Raw genomic sequence first — 22112 nt, 5'->3', positions numbered from 1 at the left:
AGTTTCTTCCCTGAGATGGTAGAATGGACTTTCTTATGCTTCTAAAGGAGCTACTGATCTGCTTTACACATTGGCATGAAAACACCTGTGATACTGCTCTGAGAGATCAGGTGTAGCACAAGGTCTGCCATGATGCATACTTTATAGCATTTTAATAATGATGCATGAAGAAGTAGGTAAAGGCATAACAAGATGGCAGTTGATGAAACCTACATTTAGACTCTACTTTTCTTCTGTATTTCTACCTTGTATAGTGAACATCTTTATATAACATCTTTTAAAAGATAAATGACAATGTTAGCACCAATATTCACATAGAATATTGTTTCAGAATGTTTACAACCCTGAACAAAGGGATCGTAGAGCAAATTTCAGCATGTATTCATGGTATGTAAATGTAATCTTGCCATGCAGTTCTCAGCTATTTTGGCTTGACATGAGGTTGTATAGATTGCATACATAGGCATTTCTCACAGTGATCTTTTAATAGATGCTGATTGATGGCTGTGACACTGTATCCCCATTCTCTTGGGGAGAGAATGTCTTCCGCCCTGCTAATGCTTTAGAATTAGCAACTATTGTAGGCAGAGAATTAAAAAAGAATCCTTATCTGATCTTTGATCTGTGCTGGCTTGTAGTTTCTATGTCAAGGGTTAATTAACCCCCTGAAACTTTATGGGATTTTCTCATGTCCATGGCTTGCCTTCTTTTCTAGGATCAGAGCCATTTGAAAATTAAAAGGGGAAAAAAGCCCCTTCTAAGCAATCTTCTGTTTGTCTCTATTTCTGGTCCTCTTCTCCCTTCTCCCAGATTCCTATTCCACGTTTGTCTGATCTAAGATAAACTAGGTCCTGTCATTTAAATGGAACATCACCTTATCATTCCATTCTCAAGTTGATAACCCCACGTCAAACATTCAATTTTATTCCTTTACACAGAGAAGTATAGATTCTTTCAAAGCAATTGTTAGAAGTGGATTTTATTTTCAGAATCTCAATACATTTGCAGACTAAGATAACATCATATTTTAACAAAATGCATAAGTCATCAAACTCTTTACTTACCACAGTTCTTTTCATCACTGCCGTCAACACAGTCTTCATCCCCATCACATTTCCACAACAGCGTAATACAGCGACCATTTGTGCACTGGAATTGGGAGGGTTCACATTTGGCTTTTCTCCCTAGAATAAGAAGGGAACATTCGGTAAAGCAAGGATTGGTTATAGATTCAAGATACCTAATACCCATGGATGGGGACCTTCTCAGAAGGATACTGCAGACTCGGCAGGCTATGACATCCTAAGGGCCAGAGTAGGATGGCTCTTCAGCCAGTGACTGACAGTAATTGCGTTCTTAGCTGGGTGCATGCTAAGACTAAATACTAGATTTTCAAGCCTCTTTCTCAGTGAGGTGCAGCCAAGGGGCTACATTCTGACTAATGGAATGTAAACTAAAATGGTATATACAACTTTGGGAAATGTCCTTAAGAGGATAGAGGATCCATTTTCTTTCCATCTCTTCATTCCTGGTACCTGAAAATTGGGCATGGTGGCTGGAATAGTGATCTCGGGCAAATGGAGCCAGACGAAAATAGAAGGAATCCAGATTGCCCAGAGACCACAAGGGGCATCATCTCTGCCTGTGGACTCATTTCTCTCATTTGTTGAAACTACGTGTGTGGCTATAATCAGCCAAGTCCTAATCCTTTAATGGCATTTCTTGTCCACATCCATACTATTATCCATTAATGATGTTTCTATTACAAGCACAGTGAAGAAGATTTAGAAGGAGCAGCAAGAATAGGGTAGAAATAGAGATTTAATACATGATTCCTCCTCTTAGAAACTGAGGTCTAATTGGAAAAACACAGCTTTAAAAAACAGCTCCAAGATAAAAGCAACAAGAAAGTATAGTTAAGAGGGAAAGGAAGATCATTTGTCATTTAAAGAGGAGAGGAAAGGAAAGTGAGGTGGAGCTGAAGATGTAGTTTCGATTTCTCTGAATCTGGTTTTCTATGCTTAATGTATGGATATTTAATTCACACAATGGTGTGAACTAAGACTTCTAAGTGGGACAGTTGGTGTTTTGCCCGGCACAGGCCAGCTAATGTTCAGGTGCTTCCTATCATTAGCAGTTCCGTCCTTCTGGCGGATGTGATTGCTTCACGATAAAAGGCACAGATGTGGCCCTTAAAGCAAATATACTGCAAATATTTGAGAAAAACAGTGGAATCATATAGTTCACGCAGATTACTTAGGGAGGGTGTCCCAGCAGAAGGCCTTCCGATTTCCTGCCACCTTTCAGCATTTGCAGCTGTGGCATGCTGGCATAAGAACTGATATTACAGAGACAAGCACAGACTGGAACTCTTGTGTTACGTGCACAATACCCTAGTTGGTCTCCCTAGTGTCAGCTACTCCCTGCTGTCTGGGAGCATTTCGTGCTTTGTGGCTCTTCCCAGGGAGATTAAAATTTGGCCCAAATCAAGATGACCATATGGGTGTGGTTACTTCCTTGGATATTAAATATGTTGCTTTTAAAACTGCATCTATCACTCTGCTCCCATGAGTCTAATTAAGCTAGGACCCAGCTACAAAGCAGAATGGTTTCCTACCTTCATTTCATAATACTTTTTCATTCTTCACGTTTTATTGGTTGTAATATACTAGGGATTTAGAAGGGGAACTAGAGGAGGGTAGAGATTGTTGTCAGGAAGCATCACCTGTGTTGTTTTATACTGCTAAACCAAATCTGAGGTACCTGGTGCCTCTCCCCTCTCCCCTCATTGCCACTGGATTCTTAATATGTTTGCAATATTCTCAATGCTGAGGGTACGTGTCTTGCAGTTCTATATGACCTTACTACCTTTGGGGACTGTGAAAGTGGTAAGACTCTACCTTGAGTAATCAGGAAAAGAATGATTTGTAGTCTGAGAACATAGGTATAAATATACTTGGAAAGAATAGTCAGGTTGGAGTTAAGATACAGTAAAGACTGAAAGCCTCTGATTTTTTTTTTAAGGTTTTAGTTACCAAAGGTTATTAAGTCAAAATGAGACAACAACATTGACATTGATATCTACATAATCAAAATGGAAACCTTGTAATCAGATTTGAATAGCAACTTAAAGGTCAATGTCAATTGATAGTTTCCCACCTCAGGGTTAAGGTACCTGGAAGACAACCTCCTTAAGAATGAGTTTGAAGCTACAGATTTCCTAGGCACTCAGAGTGGCCTGGGATTAAGTATGGGCATACAGTATCCCAAGGCTGATATTTACTCTACTATTGCCTTAAAGAGGGTCTCTGAATTTAGTTGTAATATACAAGCTATCAACAGTAATAAATTCTATTAAAATCCTAGCAGCTCTGCTCTAAGAGTCTATATTGAGGAGACTCAGGACAGGCATCAGCATTTTCTACTAAGAAAATATCCGAAGCCAAAAAGGAGTTTAATTTCTAGCTTTTCTTATCCGAGATATTTCCACTTTACTCAAGCTTCTGCCTGATCATCATAAAGCTGTGTTTTACTCCCTCTCTCTCAACCACACACACACACACACACACACACACACACACACACTCTCTCTCTCTCTCTCTCTCCAATAAGGAGTAGCAACAGGCATTAGGAGTACAGTGTGCTACTAAAATGTCCCTGCCTGTTTAAAAGAATGACATTGGGGTGGGGGTGGGAAGACAAGCTGGCTTTATAAAGGACTCTTTAAAGACAGGCAAATAAAGACCTTAAGCTTTATGGCTATGCCTCTTCGTTTCCTAGTTTCCTAAGCACTTTGTTTTGAGGGACTGCTACTGGGCAGAAAGTGCTCCCTAGTTCTGTTTAATTCTCTGCTTCCCACAGAGAGGGAGAGCTCAGACACTAAATCGAATGCCCAGCCCTTAGCCACCTGACTGGAACACTGTTAAGTTTTCTGTTCAAGTTTTTAAAAGGTTCTACCTATCCACCTCTGGTGCTCAGCTGGGACTGCTGCTGTGCAGAGCTCTAGGAGAACTGAAAGCACCAAATGAGTTAAGAGGCTTTTGGTTTCCAAAGCTTTGGGATTATAGGATTGTGGACCTGCAGTCTATTTCCATCCATGAAAGTTACGTCTCAAATTCAGTATTATACTTTCATAAAGGGAACAAGTTGAGCTTGAAATCATCTACACTCGAGATTCTTTTAATTCTTCAGGCTAAACTAAAGCCAATGACACCTCAAAAAATACCTTGGAAGTAGAAGTGCTAGGCATTTCTGCTCAGACAGGTGAGAAGATGGGGCAAAATGCAATTGTTAGTGGGTTCCTTAAAGCCATGAGGTTTCACAAGAATGCCTCAGGCTAGAGGGGTGGTTGAAGTGGAGGGAAAGGCCACAGTAGCAGAGGCCCTGGGTGTTCCACCTCTGCCTCTACCAAGACTTTCTTTTGAATATTGGATTTTGGTGTAAGAATTTGAAAAGGGTTCTATTAAGAAATTGTCTAGGTTTTCTTCCAGCTCTAATCCTTAGAATATCTCTGCTCCTTTGGGTGAGGGGGTTGGAAGTCGCTTGTACCTACTCACTTATGTGCCTATTTAAATTTGTAATGAATGAATTCCTGGAGCGTCAAAAAATTCTCACTTTTACTGTCACTTATATAGATGGAATCAGACTATAGAATATGCACACTAACTTCAAGGACCTATTTTCCTGGGAGCCTTGCTTCTCTAAGTAGTTAACTTTGCTACACAGACACATTGGCAGTTCACTGGCTCCAAGAAAAACAGGGTTCTTCTTGGTGGTGTTTGTATAAATTTATGAGGTACATGTAAAATTTTGTTACATGTATGTAATGAATCTATACTGATGAAATCCGAGGATTTAGGGTGTCCATCACGCGAGCACGTTTTTGTTAACTACAGTCATTGACGTTATTTCTTCTACCTTACTGTAGGTTTGTATTCTTTAACCCACTTCCTTTCATCTGCTCTCCCTTTCCCCCTACTTCTGAGTCTCTGTCATCTTTCTACCATCTACCTCCATGGAATGAAATATTTAAGCTTCCACATACGATTGAGAACATAAGATATTTGTCCTGCTGTGCCTGGCTTATTTCCCTTAGCATAATGACCTCCAATTCCATCCCCATGCTGCTGCAAATGGCATGATTTCATTCATTTTCATGGCTGAATAGTATTCCATTGTGTATATGTACCATATTTTCTTTACCCTTTCATTATTGATGGGCATTTAGGTTGATTCTGTATCTTTGTTACTGTGAATAGTGCTGCAATAAACATGCCAGTGCAGGTATCCCTTGGATATACTGATTTTTCCTTTGGGTAGATACCCAGTAGAGGGATTGCTGGATCAAATGTTAATTCCAGTTTTAGTTTTTTGGGAAATCTGCATATTGTTTTCCTTGGTGGCTGTATTAGTTTACATTCTCACCAGCAGTGTATAAGACTTCCCTTTTCTCCATATCCTCAGCAACATCTGTTGTATTTTGTCTTTTTATTAATAGCCATTCTGACTGGTATAAGATTATATGTCATTTTGGTTTTGGTTTGCATTTCTCTAATGATTAGTAATGGTAACGATTTTTTCATGTATCTGTTGGTTATTTTTATGTCCTCTTTTGAGAAATGTCTATTCATGTCCTTTCTCCACTTTTTAATGGGATTATTTTTTCCCCATTGTTTGAGTTTGTATATTCTGGATATTAGTCTCCTGTCAGATAATAGTTTGCAAATATTTTCTCCCATTCGGCAGGTTGTTCTTCACTTTGTTGATTATTTCTTTTGCTGTGCAGAAGCTTTTTAGTTTAATTAAGTCCCATTTGTCTATTTTGTTTTTGTGGCCTAAGCTTTTGAGGTCTCTTTCATAAATTCCTTGTCTAGACCAATGTCCTAGAGGGAAACTCAGGGTTTTTAATGCATATAGAAGTCAGCCGCCATTGTCTAATTTTCCCTGTAGCGGTTGACATGGAGGACTAATACATAAGCTTCAGTAAAAAACTGCATAGGCCTTCGAGTAAATACCAAGCCTTCCAAACGGACTACAAATCTCCCTATGGGGCTCCGAGCAGCACCCTGGCAGGAGCACTCCAAGATGCATGCCCAGAATATAGAGAAAGTGTCTCTGGGTACCAGGCTCAGAGCGTACTTCAGCCTGCACAGAGGCTCATGCTGCCACACTGCTGGGGCCACCAGGGCCAAGCATTTACATCTCTCATGCCCTTACTCATTGCTTGAGCATATGGGTGTTACTTGCTGGAATTCCTTCCGTCCATTTGTTTTGGCACTTCTGGGGCCACCAAGGGCATTTATTTTTAGTCTAGTTCACTTCTACTGCTTGCCACTTTAATGACAGTGTTTCTATTTGTAAGCTAAAACTCCTTTCAGGACAAGCAAATTTCTGAGTCAGCAAAAAAGTTTTCCTAAGGGGAGAAGGGTTTGTAAGAGGCAAAGTACCACAACAGGTGTTAAGGGAAATGTTCTGAGCTGTCAAGCACAAAGATTGTGCTCTGGCCTTAAAGTCAGCCTCTGAAACATTGTAAGAACCAGTTTGGGCCAGGCACGGTGGCTCATGCCTGTAATCCCAGCACTTTGGGAGGCTGAGGCGGGCAGATCACCTGAGGTCAGGGGTTCAAGACCAGCCTGGTCAACATGGTGAAACCCAGTGTCTGCTAAAAATACAAAAATTAGCCAGGCATTACACACACCTGTAATCCCAGCTCCTTGGGAGGCTGATGCAGGAGAATTGTTTGAACCTGGGAGGTAGAAGTTGCAGTGAGCCGAGATAGTGCCATTGCACTCCAGCCTGGGCAACAAGAGTGAAACTCCATCTCGAAAACAAACAAACAAACAGCAACAAAAACACTAGTTCGGGGGCCACTAAAAAGTGGTGAATATGTAGGCTAATTCTTCTGAGTCATGGAAATAAGTGAATTTTACAGTTCAATTGTCAGTTACATTCAATTTCCATTTACATCAAATTGATCTTAAGAATCATGGACATAATCAAATCGTTTTTGTTGTTGGTCAAACACTGCTCTAAGACTTCACATCTCTTAGCTTTTAAAATTCTTAATCCTGCACAGTTGGCCCTATTATTCCTCTTTTACAGATCAGGAAACCTGGTAGAGAAGGAAAGTACAGTCACTTGTCCCAGATTGCCCTGGGCAGAGCTAGGAGTTGAACCCAGGCACTGGCTCTAGATACTGTGTTACTAAGCATCAACTTAGATTTAGCCTTGTTGTTGAGATGGAGGCCTGCTTTCCTTCCTCATTCTAAGTTTTTAAAAATGTTTCTAGAATTCCTCAGCAAGTCTTCTAAAAGGATTATAGCTCTTGGTTTTCTTGTCTAGGGTTCAAGTCAGAGGAAAGGCCCTCCATCGGATATACCTTGAAAATCGTTAGCTTCTGTGAGTGGTAAACTAAGTCAGTCGTTCTCAAGCTCCCGTGTGCATCAGAATCCCCAGGAAGGCTTGTTAAAACACAGAATGCTGGGCCCCAGCCTGGATTCTGATTCAGCAGGTCTAGAACAGGGCCTAAGTTTGCATTTCTAATGAGTCAATGTTGACACATGAACTCAATTAACATTGAATTAATGTTGCCAATTTCGGTCCACACTTTGAGAACCACTGCACTAAGGTTAAGAAGCTACAGCTTCTACCCATAATGTAAGTGGCTCTTTCATTTTCAGGGTTGTAGCATATACCAATAACACCCTCATAAGGCCTAATGTTCATCACAGGAGGGACACAGGAGATAAATGCCTCTTTTACAATACACATGATAGTAACATGTGAGTAAAGCCCTCAAAACTATTTTGCAGAAAAAATTTATTTGGGTGTCTTACTAGGCAGAGGTTCTTCTAAAATCCATCCTTCCCTCCCTGTGTAGTCTATCTTTGATTGGCCCCATTACTTACTCTAAATCAGTACTCCAGAAATGAGCCCAAATTCTTCCCTGACATTTGGCCATCAATCCCTGGCTATGCCCAAGCCCTCCTCTCACCTGATGTCAATTTAAATGTCTTGTTCCTTTGCCTCCAGGCTGCCACATTCTCTACCCATATCAAGCAACCTAGTGATTCAAGCAACCTAGAATAGCCAAGAATGGGGTCATTTCTTGGCTTACCACTATCTCTAGGATTAAGTTCCCTACTAATTTCCTCAGACTTTTCCCTATTGGTCACTACCCACCATCTGCTATACGGGCTGAGCTAACAGCTCAAAGGGGACCCACTCACTTCCCCATGGCTTTGCCCTTCCTCATGGCTGCTTTGTCTCAGTTTGTTCATGTTGCCCTTGTCCACCCATTCACCAGGAGTGGGCTCAGATTGTATTCTTGAATGAGGCCTCAATGCCTTTTTTGGAAAAACTAGGTATGGTCTGGCTGCTTTCTCATAATAGTCCCTGTCACAGAGCCATCACCCAAGGAGATGAGTTCAGCTACCATTTTTCACCTTTAGACACAGAGATCCCCTAAGGCATGGGCTGCAGTTCACATTTGTAACTCAGGACCTGGTGCCTGACATCCTATATTCTCTAGGCACTAGTTGGTAGTCTTGGGTGCATGAGTTGATTTATTAGTTTACTAATAAAGCTGGTCTGAACTAAAAACTTTTGTCAAAAACATTTCCCCCAGCTTTTTCAGAACTTGAAACCAAGTGTGACTGGTTGTTTTACTAGCTAGAATACTTTGAAAGACTCTAGGTTATAAAGGTCCCTGTTCCCTAGGCCTATGAGGGTACCTTCACCTCATCTTTGTAGCAATTTTTTTTTTTTTTTTTTGAGATGGATTCTCGCACTGTAGCCCAGGCTGGAGTGCAGTGGCGTTATCTCGGCTCACTGAAATCTCTGCCACCCGGGTTCAAGCGATTCTCCTGCCTCAGCCTCCTGAGTAGCTGGGATTACAGGCTCGCACCACCACACCCAGCTAATTTTTTTGTATTTTTAGTAGAGATGGGCTTTCACTATGTTGGCCAGGCTGGTCTCGAACTCCTGACCTCGTGATCTGCCTGCCTCGGCCTCCAAAAGCACTGGGATTATAGGTTTGAGCCACCGCGCCCGGCCTCTTTGTTGCAATTTATCATTTAAAAACAGTGCATTTTCACACACTTGTCTGTCAGAATGAGTGTGTCCCTTTGGGTGTGTTGGCTTCATTTCCATGTGAAAAGAGAGGTTCCAACACCTGAGAAGGTTAGCAGCGGCTAACTGGTAAAGTTGAGTGTGATATATCAGACGCAGATTTTACTTCTGACATGTTTTAATGCTCTTTGGTAATACTGGCAGTAATCCATTGTTGCTTTAGTCATATCACTTTTGTAGGATTATCTGCAGACATAGAATTATTTCTGGCTTTTTGAAATTAAAGTCTAAGTTCTTGGTAATTTTAGGGAAACTTCATAAGCTAGAACCCAGATAGCATATGGAAATTCCAGAAATCTCCAGCTGCTATCTGCCTCTTTTATGATTAAGTCTTAAACACTGGATCTGCTCACTCCTCTTCAGAGCTTCTATTCCAAGCGGTCTTTGGCTGTTTCCTGCTTTGATTCCCCTACTAGACTAAGTGCCACAAAGGAAGGAACCAGTGCTATGGTCACTCTGTCCCCATGCCTGGTGCCATATGGTAGGTACTCAGTAGATGTACATTAAGTGGTTTCCAGAAGATGCACAAAGATGACCAACATCAATCTGCAACCTACTTAGTGAACATACAGATCAGTTAATACCTCAGATGTGGGGAAGTCTTTCTTAAGAAAATGAAAGATTAGAGGCAGTCTATAAAATAGAAACCCTGTTTACTCACAGCATGTGGGAGAACTATTAAGTTCTAACAAACTTGTGATGTAACTCACAAATGCTGTCTATCGCCGAGGCTTTGTTATGTCCCTTGGTTGGCAAATTGCAAGTCCCCCCATCCCCACCACCTCGTCTACATACATAAAGGCTCCCCAGATGGCCCCCAAGTTGGCAAAATCAGCTGCTCTAGCCAGAGGCTTCATCTTATAGTTTCCAGCATCTCTAAACTACAAAGTAGGCAAAGGATCTCTAAGCAAGCATTGAAACATTTCTAACAGAATCTCCACACTTACTCTCACAGGACCTAACAGGCATTCTCTTGCTTAGAGACTCAAAATAACTGTTGGGCCCAAGCTTTCCTAGGAGACTTCACTCAAGGGGAAAAGTATGCTAAATTTATGGTCCAGGTTGAGCATCCCTAATCCGCAATCTGAGATGCTCCAAAATCCAAAACTTTGAGTGCTGACATGATGCCGTAAGTGTGGAAATTCCACACCTGACATCACGTGACAAGTTGCAGTCAAAACTTTGTTTCTTGTATAAAATCATTAAAAATAGTCTATAAAATTACCTTCAGGCTATGTGTATAAGGTGTATGTGAAATATAAACGAATTTCATGTTTAGACTTGGGTCCCATCCCCAAGATACCTTATTATGTATGTGTGAATGTCCCAAAATCTGAAAAAATCTAAACTCTGTGGAACCCTTCTGGTTTCAAGTATTTCAGATAAAGGACACTTAACCTGTGTTATCACCTGCCATCTCATTTGGTTCCTGCAGTGCAGTTAGTGTACTTAACTAAGTGGTATTAACAGTGTTTAGAGTTTTTGTTGCAAGCCAATAGACGAACTTAGCAAAGAGACACTGATTTAGTTTGAAAAATGCAGACAGTAAAATTGAGATGATTTTTACTTAAAAGCCAGATTCGCCTATAGCTAGGTTAGACTCTGCCCCAACTCTTCAGAAAAACTATCAGTCCTCAGATTTTCTAGCCCAAAACTCTTTAGGTGGCAGAAAAAATTGTCCCTGGACTACTTACTTCCGCTTAACAAGTATATCTCGCCCATAACCTCAGCAGACAGTATTTTTGGACTGTTTGCCTTGAAAGTAGTCTATCACTCTGTTGTCCAAGTATTCTTTTGAGATTAAATTAGTAGGGACCAAACTAAGCAATTTTGAATTTATCAACTAACCATGTAGAGGGCAGTTGTATTAGCCACCACAAGGAGCTCCCTAAGGCAGGTACATTTACAACGAACATCATTATAGACCTCATCAAGCCCTTTAATACATTTAATTTCTTATAGGCTAGTATGTGAAGGTGGTTTTCCAAATGAAAGTCAGTATCCAAAGTGAATGCAATCATTACTTTAAGTCACGTAGGCAACTGCCTTGTCTTAAACACTTTTCCCTGCACTGAAAAGAACAAATTTACATTCTGTGAGAAACAGAAAATGGGCTAGATATTTAAAATGAATTAGCTGTATTTCTATGCTGTGTGCCAAGTCTTCAAGGTTTGGGATCAAAACCCGAAGCCACACGGCTGGGTACTATGTGTTCCCTTGATCTTATGGTCATGTTCTACTCTAGGAGTTCTTGTTAAGTCTTATCAATTTGATACCTCTCCTGGAGCAGAAGGGGCTTGTAACAACTTTTTTCCTCTTCCAAAACTGTAATGAAACTACTCAAGTCAAGTTTACGGTTATTCAATTTTATGACAGGTAGAGACACTTGGATCAGGTCTTCACTTCTTTTGAGCATGGAGACTGTCACCTTTGCTAGCAATGTTTAGTGTTAAATAGCAGTCTATTGTACTAAAGTCTTAATATTTGGCAGCTCTACTTGACCTTTATACATGCTTTAAGTATCTGGGGACTCAGGCCATAAAAGCAAACAATCAAAATGACACAGGACAGGCACTATAGGTAAATGCCACATAAAGTGGGCAAGAGGGTGATCCAGGGAACAAAGCTACACTGGATTTCATGAAGCTGTTACTGCCAAGGAGGGCTTGGCTGGTGACCTTCCTTTACGCAGTCCCTGCTCACATGAGTGATCAGTCTTTGATAAGGGGTACTATCATCGTCATACCTTCATTGGTGCTATCTGGATGAGCCAAGTTTACTTTCCATGCCAACCAGTTTCCTACCTCCAGGTCTATTACTACCACCAGTACCACCAACCCACTTCTCACAATGAGGGAATTTTCTTTCTATTCTTAGGCTAGTTGCTAGCCATATATGAATAGCTCTCAAAAAACCTTGGTTCTTTTAGACTCTGGCCTTAAAGAATATATCATACCACAGATCTTAATCTTGACTACTTAGGCTGAAGGAAAATGTCCCAGAACCCCCAGGAATTGTGCAATCAGGTATACCAACTTCTTGTTAGCCTTAAGTTCCTTGCCAGAGTCTCAGTGTTCACCTGTCTTGTCCAGGAGTATTGTGGAACAGCACCATGTGCCAGTGGACAGAAGGGGTATGTGTAGAAGCTCCAGGGTAGAAAGTCAGCCCACATGCCCTGAGACTTTGAACTTAAGACAGATGCCGGTTGGGATTGGTTTAGGGTCAATAACTGCCTCAGCCCAAATTTCCTCCAGTTCTGGAAGAATCTGCTTCCTCTCCTTTGAAGAATTTGTTTTTCCATTGTTCATGGCATGTCAAATATTTCACATGTGACAAAGTGAAAAGGATCCTCACCTGCCCAATACAAGGTGAACATCTGGCTTTGACTAACTCATGTCAGTAGTTTAGGTGCATTCCTAGCATTCTATAAGGTAAAGTTAACCTCTAGTGGAAGGGACATGCAGCAAAAACGAAACTTTTCTCTCACCTTCCTGGATAATTGTCCCTCCTTCTGGTATACCTTAGCGTTTTGAAATGTTACAAAAGGCATAATGCAAGTCATGGCACTATACTGAGAAATCGTTTAATAAGTTAGTATTACTCATCTATTAATGATTAATGCTAGCGTTTGGAAACTCTTGTAAGCAGAGCTTTTCTAGGCTCTCAGGCTTGTTACACATCAGATTCCATGTTCACTACACATTCGTCCTCTTCAAAGAGTCCAGGCAGGGGAAGGCATTTGAGAGAACAGCCCGTAAGAGCCTGTGGAGTCTCCTACTTTCCATTGAAAATAACACTGCCCATGCTGCCCACTTAAGAGTCCGCGGAACCATGTGACCAACCTAAACGTGATCGCACCGCTAACCAATCGCAGAGGGCGGAAAGGCCAGTCCCAGTTCACACGCTCCGGACAGTGGCAACCAAAGGGCAGGGGCATTCGGAGACGTAAAAACCCCAGGCGCTGCCCGACAGGCTCCTTGACCACATGCTTTAAAGTTCGCTCTCACTTCAGGAGCACGTGACTGCAGGCCGGCAGGGCCCCTGAAGCCACCCGGCGACGGGAGCCAGGGACTCTGGAACGGGTGTTAAGGGCCTGGGCGGCTTTCAGTCCCAATTCCCTGCAGCTGGCAAGCAAGCCCCTCGGCGTCACATCTGAAGATCACTTCGGGGACGCGCTAGGATTCCGACTGAGTCCTCTCAGAAAGGCTTCCTGTCGCCTGTCCAGGAAAGTTACGAGGCCCCAAGTGGGAACGTGGCTGACGACCAGGCGGGGCCCCCAGGCCCCCGCGGCAGAGTCTGGGGACCCGACAGTAGTCACCGCCGCCCTTCCCAACAAGACAGGGCCACACGCTCGCTCTCGCGCTGCTCCTTTGAGCTATTGTGTAGAATGAAGGCTAATTACAGTCACTAGCCTAGGACTCAATTCCTCTCGAGGAAACGTCACCGGGAAGGAGGGTCAGCAAACTAACCTGATTAAGTCTCCCCTCCACTCCCCCTCCGCGTTCAGCTACACGGGAGACCCGAGCGGTTTCCAAACGCCGCCCGAGGCGGGGAAAAGGGAGAGGAGAAGCGCCCAGAGCAGAGTCCTGCGTAAAGCCCCGCCGCTCCCCTACCCCGCACGCCGGAGAGGCGGCCCCGCGCCGGGGGAGTCGCAGTCCGGGTGCCCTCGGCTCCGCGGAGCCTCCCGGCCGCCGCCCACCGAACGTGCGCCAGCTCGCGGCCGCCGGAAGACTCTGAAGCCCGGCCGGCCCCTGGCGCTCCGCGTCCCCGGAGGCGCTCACCTTCTCCCCCCGTCCGCTCCCGCACTCCCCGGGGTTCGAGGGTGCGCCCGAGGCTGCCGCACACGTCTTGGCCCTCTGCCTCCTTCCCAACACTGCGCCTGGCAGAGGAGGCAGAACCATTGTTCAATGCTCAGAAGCCCACGCACCTCGGCGCCCGTCAAGAGGGCGAGAAACGAGGCGAAGCAGCGGCTCTGGGGGAGGCGGAGTGAGGGGCAGAAGACTAGTTCAGGCGAGGCGTCGGGGCACCCCGAACCCCGCTGTTCCCCAAGCCCGGCTCCCTTTAGCCTCGGCGCTGACAGCTCAGAGGCGCCACCACGGAGGGGAGGGAGGGAAGGCGAGGAGAACCGAGAGGCGCCTCCTAGGAGGCGGGTGGGCAAACGGAGACCTACGCCTCGGGGTCTCCCGGTGCCCCGGCTGGGTCCCGCCCGCCGGCGGAGGGGCGCGTCCTCACTCACCGGTTCCGGTGGCGCCGCTCTCCCGGGGCGCCCAGCACAGCGCGAGCAGCAGCCAGAGCGCCCAGAGCGCGGACGTGCCCATGGTGCCCGCCTGGATGGTGCCGCCGCCGCCGCCGCCGCCGCCGTTCGCTCCGCACGACAAGTTACCAGTCCTTCCGAAAGGAGGAAGAAGGTGGGGGCGGGGAGGGGAAAGGGGGAGAAGGAGGGGAAGGAGTTGGCGGGGGAAGGGAGCGGGGAAGAAGAGGGCACCCCCTCCCCTACAACTTGCACAGTCTCCTCCCCACCCACCCAGCCACCTCCCCGGGCTGCAGCAGCAGTGCAAGCCGAGCCTGCGGGCAGAAAATAATGCAGGCGCTGCAGAGGAGGGGAGGCAAGGGGAGAGGAGGGAAGGGAGAGGGGGTGGGGAGCCGAGAGCAGAAGAGAGCACAGAACGGAGAGGAGCCGGTAGCGGAGCACCCGCACCGGCGGCGGCCGGAGAGCGGGGTGAGCAGCGGGGAGGGGGCCGGAGGGGGCGTGGTCAACGGGAGGCGCGGCGGGCGGGCGGGAGCGCGGCGGCTTCGGCCCTCCTTTCCCTCGACGCGCTCCTCTTGCACGCGCCGGGCAGCCGGGTGCCCGCGCGGGGAGCGTGCGAGTGTGAGCGTGCGTGAGTGACCGCGGTCGTGGTCGTGGCTGCCGCCGCCGCCACCCGGACCGCTCTAGGGGCCCGGCTGCTCCGCGCGTTCGCCTGGGGCTCACGGGGGCCCGGGGCGACCGCTGGTTGGCTCGCGCGCCGCCCTCGCCTCCAATCCCGGGTGCCTGTCCTAATTTCCTGATCCAGGGAACCTGCCGCCGCAGCGGCTGTGCGCTCCCTACAGTCATTACTGTACCCTCCCGGCAGCCTCCGGCAGAACACGCAGCAGCAGCAGCAGTTAGCGCTGATGCAACTATCGTTGCTGTTGCCACCGCCTCCCCACTGACGGGGCGTGCACCTGGGGGGTACTTGCAGTTTCCAGGGGCAACAAGCATCTCTCTACCACCCTCTCCTGCGCCCCTGAGAGAGGCTGGTAGGTAGCATCTTCTTCGGGCCTCCTCTATCCACTCAGAAAGTGATGAAGCGGAGGGGCTCCAAACGTTTGGGCTGCTCAAAAGTGGGGTTTGGGATGCCGGTCTCAATCGCACGCTGAGATGCCGTTTTGCCGAAAACTAAATGTGTCTTTAAGTGAGAGAGTGTGTATGTTTGAAAGAGAGTGCGCGCGGTTGTGGCTGGTCCTCTGTAATAGAACAAGACTGAAATAACCCAGCCTGGGATGAGGAGAAGGGAAATTGCTAGCGCAGCTTTGCATTTGCTCATCAACGATTATAGTTAATTGCTAATTGCACAAAATGATAGTTTGAGGGCCTGTAATTAAAAGCTTAACCTTTTCTTGTTTGGAAGAGAGGGGCCCCATACGTTTATTCCTCTTGATATACTTTGTAACATTCAATTACAAGAATCGAGGAAAGAATAAAGGAAGCAAAGACAAGACTCCTAGAAAGGGTTGGTTCTTCTTTTGTGCCTGACAGTACCTGAGTCTATAATTTGCTTTTTGTGTACTTCAGTTTTCTTGCACACTTAGCCCTGGTTGAGGTGCATTGTCTGCTGTGGTCTGTTGAGCATCTAACCAGAGTGGGAGGGCACATCGAGCGATTTCACTTTCTTAAATAAAAGGTTTTTGGTATTTTGAAAAAGTTGTTTTTATCTTAATTCAAACTTGGAAGGTTTCAATAATATCATATTCTGACTCTATTCTGTTGGTGATCTGAAGAGCAGCGGGCACTGCCTCACTGTCTTCTCCTTGCCCTGGTTCTCCTGGAAATTTGTCAAGGCTAGCAATCAGAGGAGATGTTTATTAGGAACTTACTATATCCAGGAGACACACAGGAGAGGAAAATTCCAGTCAGGATAGGTTTCTGTGGGCCAAAGATATCCTGATTGTGACTGCTAAGCATGAAAGGGCTTAACTCTACGTATGGATGGTATCTTGCACTATAGCTCATTTTGAATGCTATTTTGCCCACCCTGTGGTTACATAGTTGATACAAACTGCAGCAGCCACACAGGTTGCATGTGAAACAACTGAAATTTGTTTGTATGACATTTAGTAGTGAAGATGCATGCCGGTGTTATTCACCTAATGGCATTGAGATGTGATAGGAAAACCTTAGTGCATGATGTCTTTCATATTCTCAGGGTTCTGAAATGCCATCTGATGAGCTACTGCTTTACAGAAGAGGAAAGGAGTAGAAGGGATGGGTGGAATCAATACAAAAAGAGGCAGCATTAATAAACAGTCATATGACTTGTTTTTAATACTTTACTCAGAGATACAGGTATACTACAAGCTATACATTGATATGGTATAATAAGACTTAACTTTGAAAAACGTGTGTGAGTACTTTCTAATTCTCCAAGGGATATAAATAAACTTTCAGTGAACTTAGCTGCAGCTCTGTATTCAATCCTGTAGCTTTTTTGTTGACTCAAAAGAAAGCATAACTTTTGGCTCCATCTCTGATTGACTGTGTAACTTGGGAAAAATCACTGTGCCTCTCTGTGTCTGCCTTTTGGCCTGTAAACTGAAAAGAAAGCCAAGCCACATTATATCAAAGTGCTCCGTGGCCTCAAGGACCAGCTCTCTGCAAGGTGTTGTTTATTAGAAGAAAAAGGTTGTATGGAGAAATTCATTGGATTATGATAGAAAGTAGCTAATAACTAAAAAGATAAATTGATGATAAGTGGATATTGAAGTGGTTGAACTAACAGAGCTAATTGATCATAAGTGGAGACTGAAATGGTTGAACTAACTGGGTTCAGAGAAGTTGACACTGCTGGATTCCCGACGCCGTCAGGTAAATGCAGAGGCAATCCCATTCACTCCTACAATCCACCACATTCATTTATTTGTTGAAGCAACACATAGTGAGCATCCCTGGCTAACGGGCACTGTGCAAAGTAGTGGGCATACAGAAGTGCTTATCTAGGAAGCTCAGCATCTGGTAGGGGAGGCAGGCAAGTGGGCAACTGTAGTACCCTATGTATAGCACTCTGATTAAGAGATGCTTAAAGTGCTAGAAGATTGCAAGGAAGAAGCAGCTATTCTGGCTGCAGGATGAAGGTATCAGAAAAGGCTTCACAGAGCGTTTGTCTCTGAGCTTTTTTCATAATTTTTACCCGGTGATCTGAATTCTCCCTACTTCTGGACACATGGTAGGATTGGACGTCCTGGCCCCCTTATGGTTGGATGGGGTCGAAAGACTAACTTTGGCTAATTATTTGTGAGCCTAAGTTACAGGGTGCCACTTTCAGACCGGAGCACTTAATTGCTTATGTGAAACCCTCTCTTTGTGTCTGCGTGGTGACAAGAAATGTTTAAGAGGTGGCTGCTGCATTAGCCCAGGTCTCCGAGTGATTCGATTCATTTAGAACTACCCATGTGAGTAGTTCCCTGCTGTCTATGTGTCTTTAGCACTGGTCACATAGAGTAGAGGTTAGCAAACTAGGGCTCATGGGCCAAGTCTAGCCAGTCACCTGCTTTTGTATGGCCTACAAATAAGAGTGATCTTTACATTTAAAAAGAGTTTTACAAAGAAGAGGAATAGTGTGCAACAGAGACTGTATGTTGCTCCCAAAGCCTAAAATATTTACCATCTAGTCCTTTAGAAAAAAAAAAAAATCAAACAAACTTGCCAACCCCTAACATAGAACGGGTGAGAGAGTAGTAAATCTTTGTCATCTTCATCTACTGAGATTTTGTTACCTCAGCATAACCTAGTGTTAACCTGACTGATACACCAGGGGAAGAGGGAAGGAAAACCATGGTGAGCAGAGGGCACAAAGGCAAAACAGCAGTATCTATTCAAGGCAATGGAAGGGATTCAGGGTGATTCAAGGGTGGGGTTCAAATGGACTAACAATGTGAAGTAAGGCTGAAGAAGAAAGGCAAGGACTGGATTAGCTGGAGTCTAGGATGTCATGCTAAGGCTTTGGATTTTATCCTGTGAACCATAGTAAGGACTTGTGATAGATTTTGATCAGAGGCCTGACATCCAGTTTCTTTTACTGTGACAATGGTATGGAAAGCAACTTGTTTAGGGTGTGGGATAGGGTCAGACTAGAGGAAGAAACATTAGTTAGAGGCCCCAGTAGTGAGGGAGTGCATTGAAGAAAGTAGAGGAGGCTGGGTGTGGTAGCTCACACCTGTAATACCAACACTTTGAGAGGCCGAGGCAGGCAGATCACCTGAGCTCAGGAGTTCAAGACCAGCCTGGGCATCATGGCAAAACCCCACAAAAAATACAAAAAACTAGCTGGACGTGGTGGTGCGCACCTATAGACTCAGCTACTGGGGGTGGAGGGGGGCCTGAGGCAAGAGAATTGCTTGAGGCCTGGAGGGTGAGGCTGCAGTGAGCTGTGATCATGCCATTGTACTGCTGCCTGGGTGATTCAGGGAGCCGTGTCTCAAAAAAAATAATAATAAAAATAAGGGGAAGAAACTACCGTTTGATTAGTCAGAAGCATTCAAATAATTCCTCCATGAGATTTTTCTCCTTGATTTTTTTGGCTTTATCTCCTTGAAGCATTTTCCAAACATATATAATCCCTGTGTATCACTGGCTATGTCTGCTAAAAGTACAGATTCTCAGGCCCCTCCGTTGATGATCCTGATTCAATTGGTCTAGGGTAGAACCCAGGAATCTGTATATGTAACCCTATTCTAGTTGATTCTTAGGATTAGTCATGATTAAGAAACTGTTTTAGAGAATGACTTCTTCAGTGCCGTTTAATTGCTAAGTAGGTTTACTTCTGTCATATTTGTGTAAATTAATTTGTCAAATTTCTCCTAAGGGAGTAGGTTAGGACCCATAGAAAATGCTAAGGTTGATGCTTATCATTATTTTTCTTCAAGATCCTTAGACTGATAATATTGGCATCTGAAATAATCTTCAAACCAATTTGCTAATTTGTAGTACTCATCACTGTGATTTCTACCCCACAGCCTCAGCATAGAAAGTAAGATGTGAAATGAGCTGTCCTCTTCTGGGGCCATCCCCTTCTGAAGTGTTTCGATGGTAACTTCACAGGCCTCCATTCCATTATTTTCTAATTGTGTGACAGCCCAGGGAAATGAGTGGGATTCCCCCCTTCTAGGCTCCATGAGTAGGACCTGATGGTCAAAATCAGTGGGTCATGCATTTTAGCTTCCATCAGAATCACTTGGAAGGCTTGTTAAAACATAGATTGCTGGGCCCCACCTCCAGAGTTTCTGGATCAGTAGGCCCAAGAATTTGCATTTTTAGTAAGTTCCCAGATGATGTTAATGCCACTGGTCAGGGAGCATACTTTGAGAACCACTGTTCTGAACCCATTGACATCACTTCCCCCCTTAGCTACTGTAATTGGTTTAAGGGCCTCAGCCAGTCAACCTATGACCTTCCTCTGTTGGCATTGATTGGATGCTTCAGCCTTAGGCACATTACAAAAGCTAGCTCAGTTACGACGAAGCTCAGGGCTTTTGCTTGGCTAGAAAGGCATTATCTTCTAAGTAATGAGATGTGTGGACGTAAGGCCAGAACTGCTTCTGCCATTTTGCCACCCTGAAGGAAGCCAGTTGGAAGACGAAACTGACTTATGGAGAAGAGGAAACTGAAATAAATGGCACTCATATTTGTAAGCCCAAGCCCAGATCAGCTTGTTTCAAAAGCTGCCATTCCATCGGACTTCTTGTTTACCTGCACCAAAAAATTCCCTTTGTTGCTGAAGTCGGTTTAGATTGCGTTTTCTCTTACTTGCTACCTAAATGACAGAGGTGCCCTCTTGAGGGATGGAATGTGCTTACCTGAAAGCAATAGGCAAAACTCTGCACATGGCTAACCCCTCCTGGAGGGCATTCAGAAGAGGAATACAGGTATTAGTAAGGACAGTTTTGAACAACTGTATTCTTGTGTAACCTGGCCAGATGAATTCCCCACTCTAAATCAGGGGTTAATGTGGACGTATTATAAGTGAATGCCGATTGAGGGTTACAATCTGGTAACGACAAGGTTTTTGAAATTCCAAGGCCAAAGACAATTTTACACACTGCTTTTGAACAATTTCAGAAAGTAAAAAATGTGGCCAAATGTAAAAACAGTGGAAATTCCAAAATGGGTTGAATATGAGGCTAGACAAATGATTATTAACTGGAAGCAATTGTAGACCCAATCAATGTTCGTCAATGTCTTGAGACATTTTTCACTGTCATGCCTGGGGAGAGGTACTCCTGGGAGATGTACCCTCTACTGGGTAGAGGCCAGGGATGCTGCTGAACATCCTACAGTGCACAGGACTGGGCCCCACAATGAGTTATTCAGTCTAAAATGTCAATGGTGCCACAGTTGAGACATTCTGAGCTAGACTTAGGAGAAGTCAGATGGCTCTGTATGCGCGAGATTTTTATCTGGGTTGGGTGGAAGGAGATTACTTAGGACTTGGGCGGCCTAGTAGAAAGATGTTCTATCTCACGACAGAGCAAGGACAAGCTGGGTTTTGTCCGGTCAATGACAGATGTGAATGCAGTGTCAGAGGAGGTTGTGGGTGGATTTACAGAACGGGGAGATGTAAAGCAAAACACATGTAGTTTACATTTTAAGTTGAAATAGGTCAGTGTAGGGCACATTCTAGGCTGCATTGTGAACTCACCAGGGTTCTTTGTTTTGTAGCGTTGAGTTTTGTTTCCTTTGGTTTACAATGCAGGAATGAAATACTGTACCACTTATTTTTGGAAGCCCTGATAATTAATTCCTACGACTCTGGCCCCAAATTTGATTGTTCTCACTTGTCATAAATGTAATTTATAGGAGGTTTTGGAATATAGGGCTATAGCATTTAAAACACTCTTACAATGGGAGTTTCTATGGAAATAGAGGCATTGTGGCCTCTACCGAGTTAGTTAAGCATAGATTGCTTATTAGAACATAAGAATTTTAATCTGCAAGTTAGAGTAATGAAGCAAGTTCTTTAAGTATTACCATTTCACCATGATATTTCGTTTTTGAACTTTTAAGAGTTTTGTGGAAGTAGATAGTTGATTTATTTAATGTTTTCTTACTTAGTTATGTAAGGAGGTTTAAATTCATATTATACTGCTGCTCACATTCCTTGAAGGGCTGAGTTTCTGAATGAATATGCTTCCTTCCAGCCTGGCTATTTGGGAGGGTTATGTCCTAGCATCTCTATATTGTTTTGGAAACACATTTATGAGGAGTTCTAATGCTGATAATGACCATGTCTGCAGAGTGGAGGGGAGGCCCAGTTTTTGAGCCTGGCTTTAGGGTTATACGGTACATGTAAAAACTGCAAGTAACTCAGAATTTTTGGAGGACAGATTCCAGAGGAGATACTGGAGAGGAAGGCAAGTACAATTAAGGAAGGCATTTGTATATTGTTTGTTTGTTTATCCGCAAAGCATTTAGTAAGCCATTGAAGGTTTTTGATCAAGAGATGATTTGTTTGGATATGAGTATTTATGAATATGACTATCTGAAAAGGTGATTATGGCTGTATGGGATCCAGAGGGCATTCTTGTGGTACCTGAAAGCCTTTGTGTGTTGAATGAATGCAGAGAGGCAGTATTGGTTAATGGTTAAGAGAGTGGGTGCTGGAGTGAGTCTTCCTCAGTTCAAAGCCTGGCTCTGACCCTGTGAAATCTTAGGCAAATTATTTAGCCTCTCTTTATGCCTTAGTTTTTTC

The 22112-nt window shown here is 44.3% G+C and overlaps 1 protein-coding gene and 1 long non-coding RNA gene across 6 annotated transcripts in view, besides 5 other annotated features; one reads left to right on the top strand and one right to left on the bottom strand.

Moving 5' to 3' along the window:
* The window catches only part of VLDLR (very low density lipoprotein receptor), a 38270-nt gene extending 23420 nt beyond the window's left edge, over positions 1–14850 (bottom strand). For all 5 annotated transcript variants that reach the window (NM_003383.5, NM_001018056.3, NM_001322225.2 and 2 more), the window contains exons 1-2: positions 14366–14850; positions 1065–1184 (exon numbers count right to left, since the gene is read on the bottom strand). In NM_003383.5, the coding sequence (NP_003374.3) occupies positions 1065–1184; positions 14366–14447 (202 nt within the window). In that variant the 5' untranslated portion in view covers positions 14448–14850. The remainder of the gene's footprint in view (positions 1–1064; positions 1185–14365) is intronic.
* Positions 13716–13805: a silencer, noted in NCBI's record as "silent region_19735". NCBI's record gives its function as "represses an Ori minimal core promoter by ATAC-STARR-seq in GM12878 lymphoblastoid cells {active_cell/tissue: GM12878}" and the evidence as "EXISTENCE:reporter gene assay evidence [ECO:0000049][PMID:35858748]".
* Positions 13816–13905: a silencer, noted in NCBI's record as "silent region_19734". NCBI's record gives its function as "represses an Ori minimal core promoter by ATAC-STARR-seq in GM12878 lymphoblastoid cells {active_cell/tissue: GM12878}" and the evidence as "EXISTENCE:reporter gene assay evidence [ECO:0000049][PMID:35858748]".
* Positions 14176–14445: a silencer, noted in NCBI's record as "silent region_19733". NCBI's record gives its function as "represses an Ori minimal core promoter by ATAC-STARR-seq in GM12878 lymphoblastoid cells {active_cell/tissue: GM12878}" and the evidence as "EXISTENCE:reporter gene assay evidence [ECO:0000049][PMID:35858748]".
* Positions 14264–22112, top strand: part of VLDLR-AS1 (VLDLR antisense RNA 1) — an 86722-nt gene continuing 78873 nt past the window's right edge. The window contains exon 1 of the long non-coding RNA NR_015375.2: positions 14264–14537. This is a non-coding gene — a long non-coding RNA (VLDLR antisense RNA 1). The remainder of the gene's footprint in view (positions 14538–22112) is intronic.
* Positions 15014–15308: an enhancer, noted in NCBI's record as "tiled region #6053; K562 Activating non-DNase unmatched - State 3:PromF". NCBI's record gives its function as "activates a minimal TATA promoter and a strong SV40 promoter by Sharpr-MPRA in K562 cells {active_cell/tissue: K562}" and the evidence as "EXISTENCE:reporter gene assay evidence [ECO:0000049][PMID:27701403]".
* Positions 15056–15135: a silencer, noted in NCBI's record as "silent region_19732". NCBI's record gives its function as "represses an Ori minimal core promoter by ATAC-STARR-seq in GM12878 lymphoblastoid cells {active_cell/tissue: GM12878}" and the evidence as "EXISTENCE:reporter gene assay evidence [ECO:0000049][PMID:35858748]".

This window comes from Homo sapiens, chromosome 9 (genome assembly GCF_000001405.40).
Source record: "Homo sapiens chromosome 9, GRCh38.p14 Primary Assembly".
In the NCBI taxonomy this organism is placed as follows: domain Eukaryota; kingdom Metazoa; phylum Chordata; class Mammalia; order Primates; family Hominidae; genus Homo; species Homo sapiens.
The sequence above is the reverse complement of the archived record's forward strand: the minus strand, read 5'-3'. Positions and strand labels throughout refer to the sequence as shown.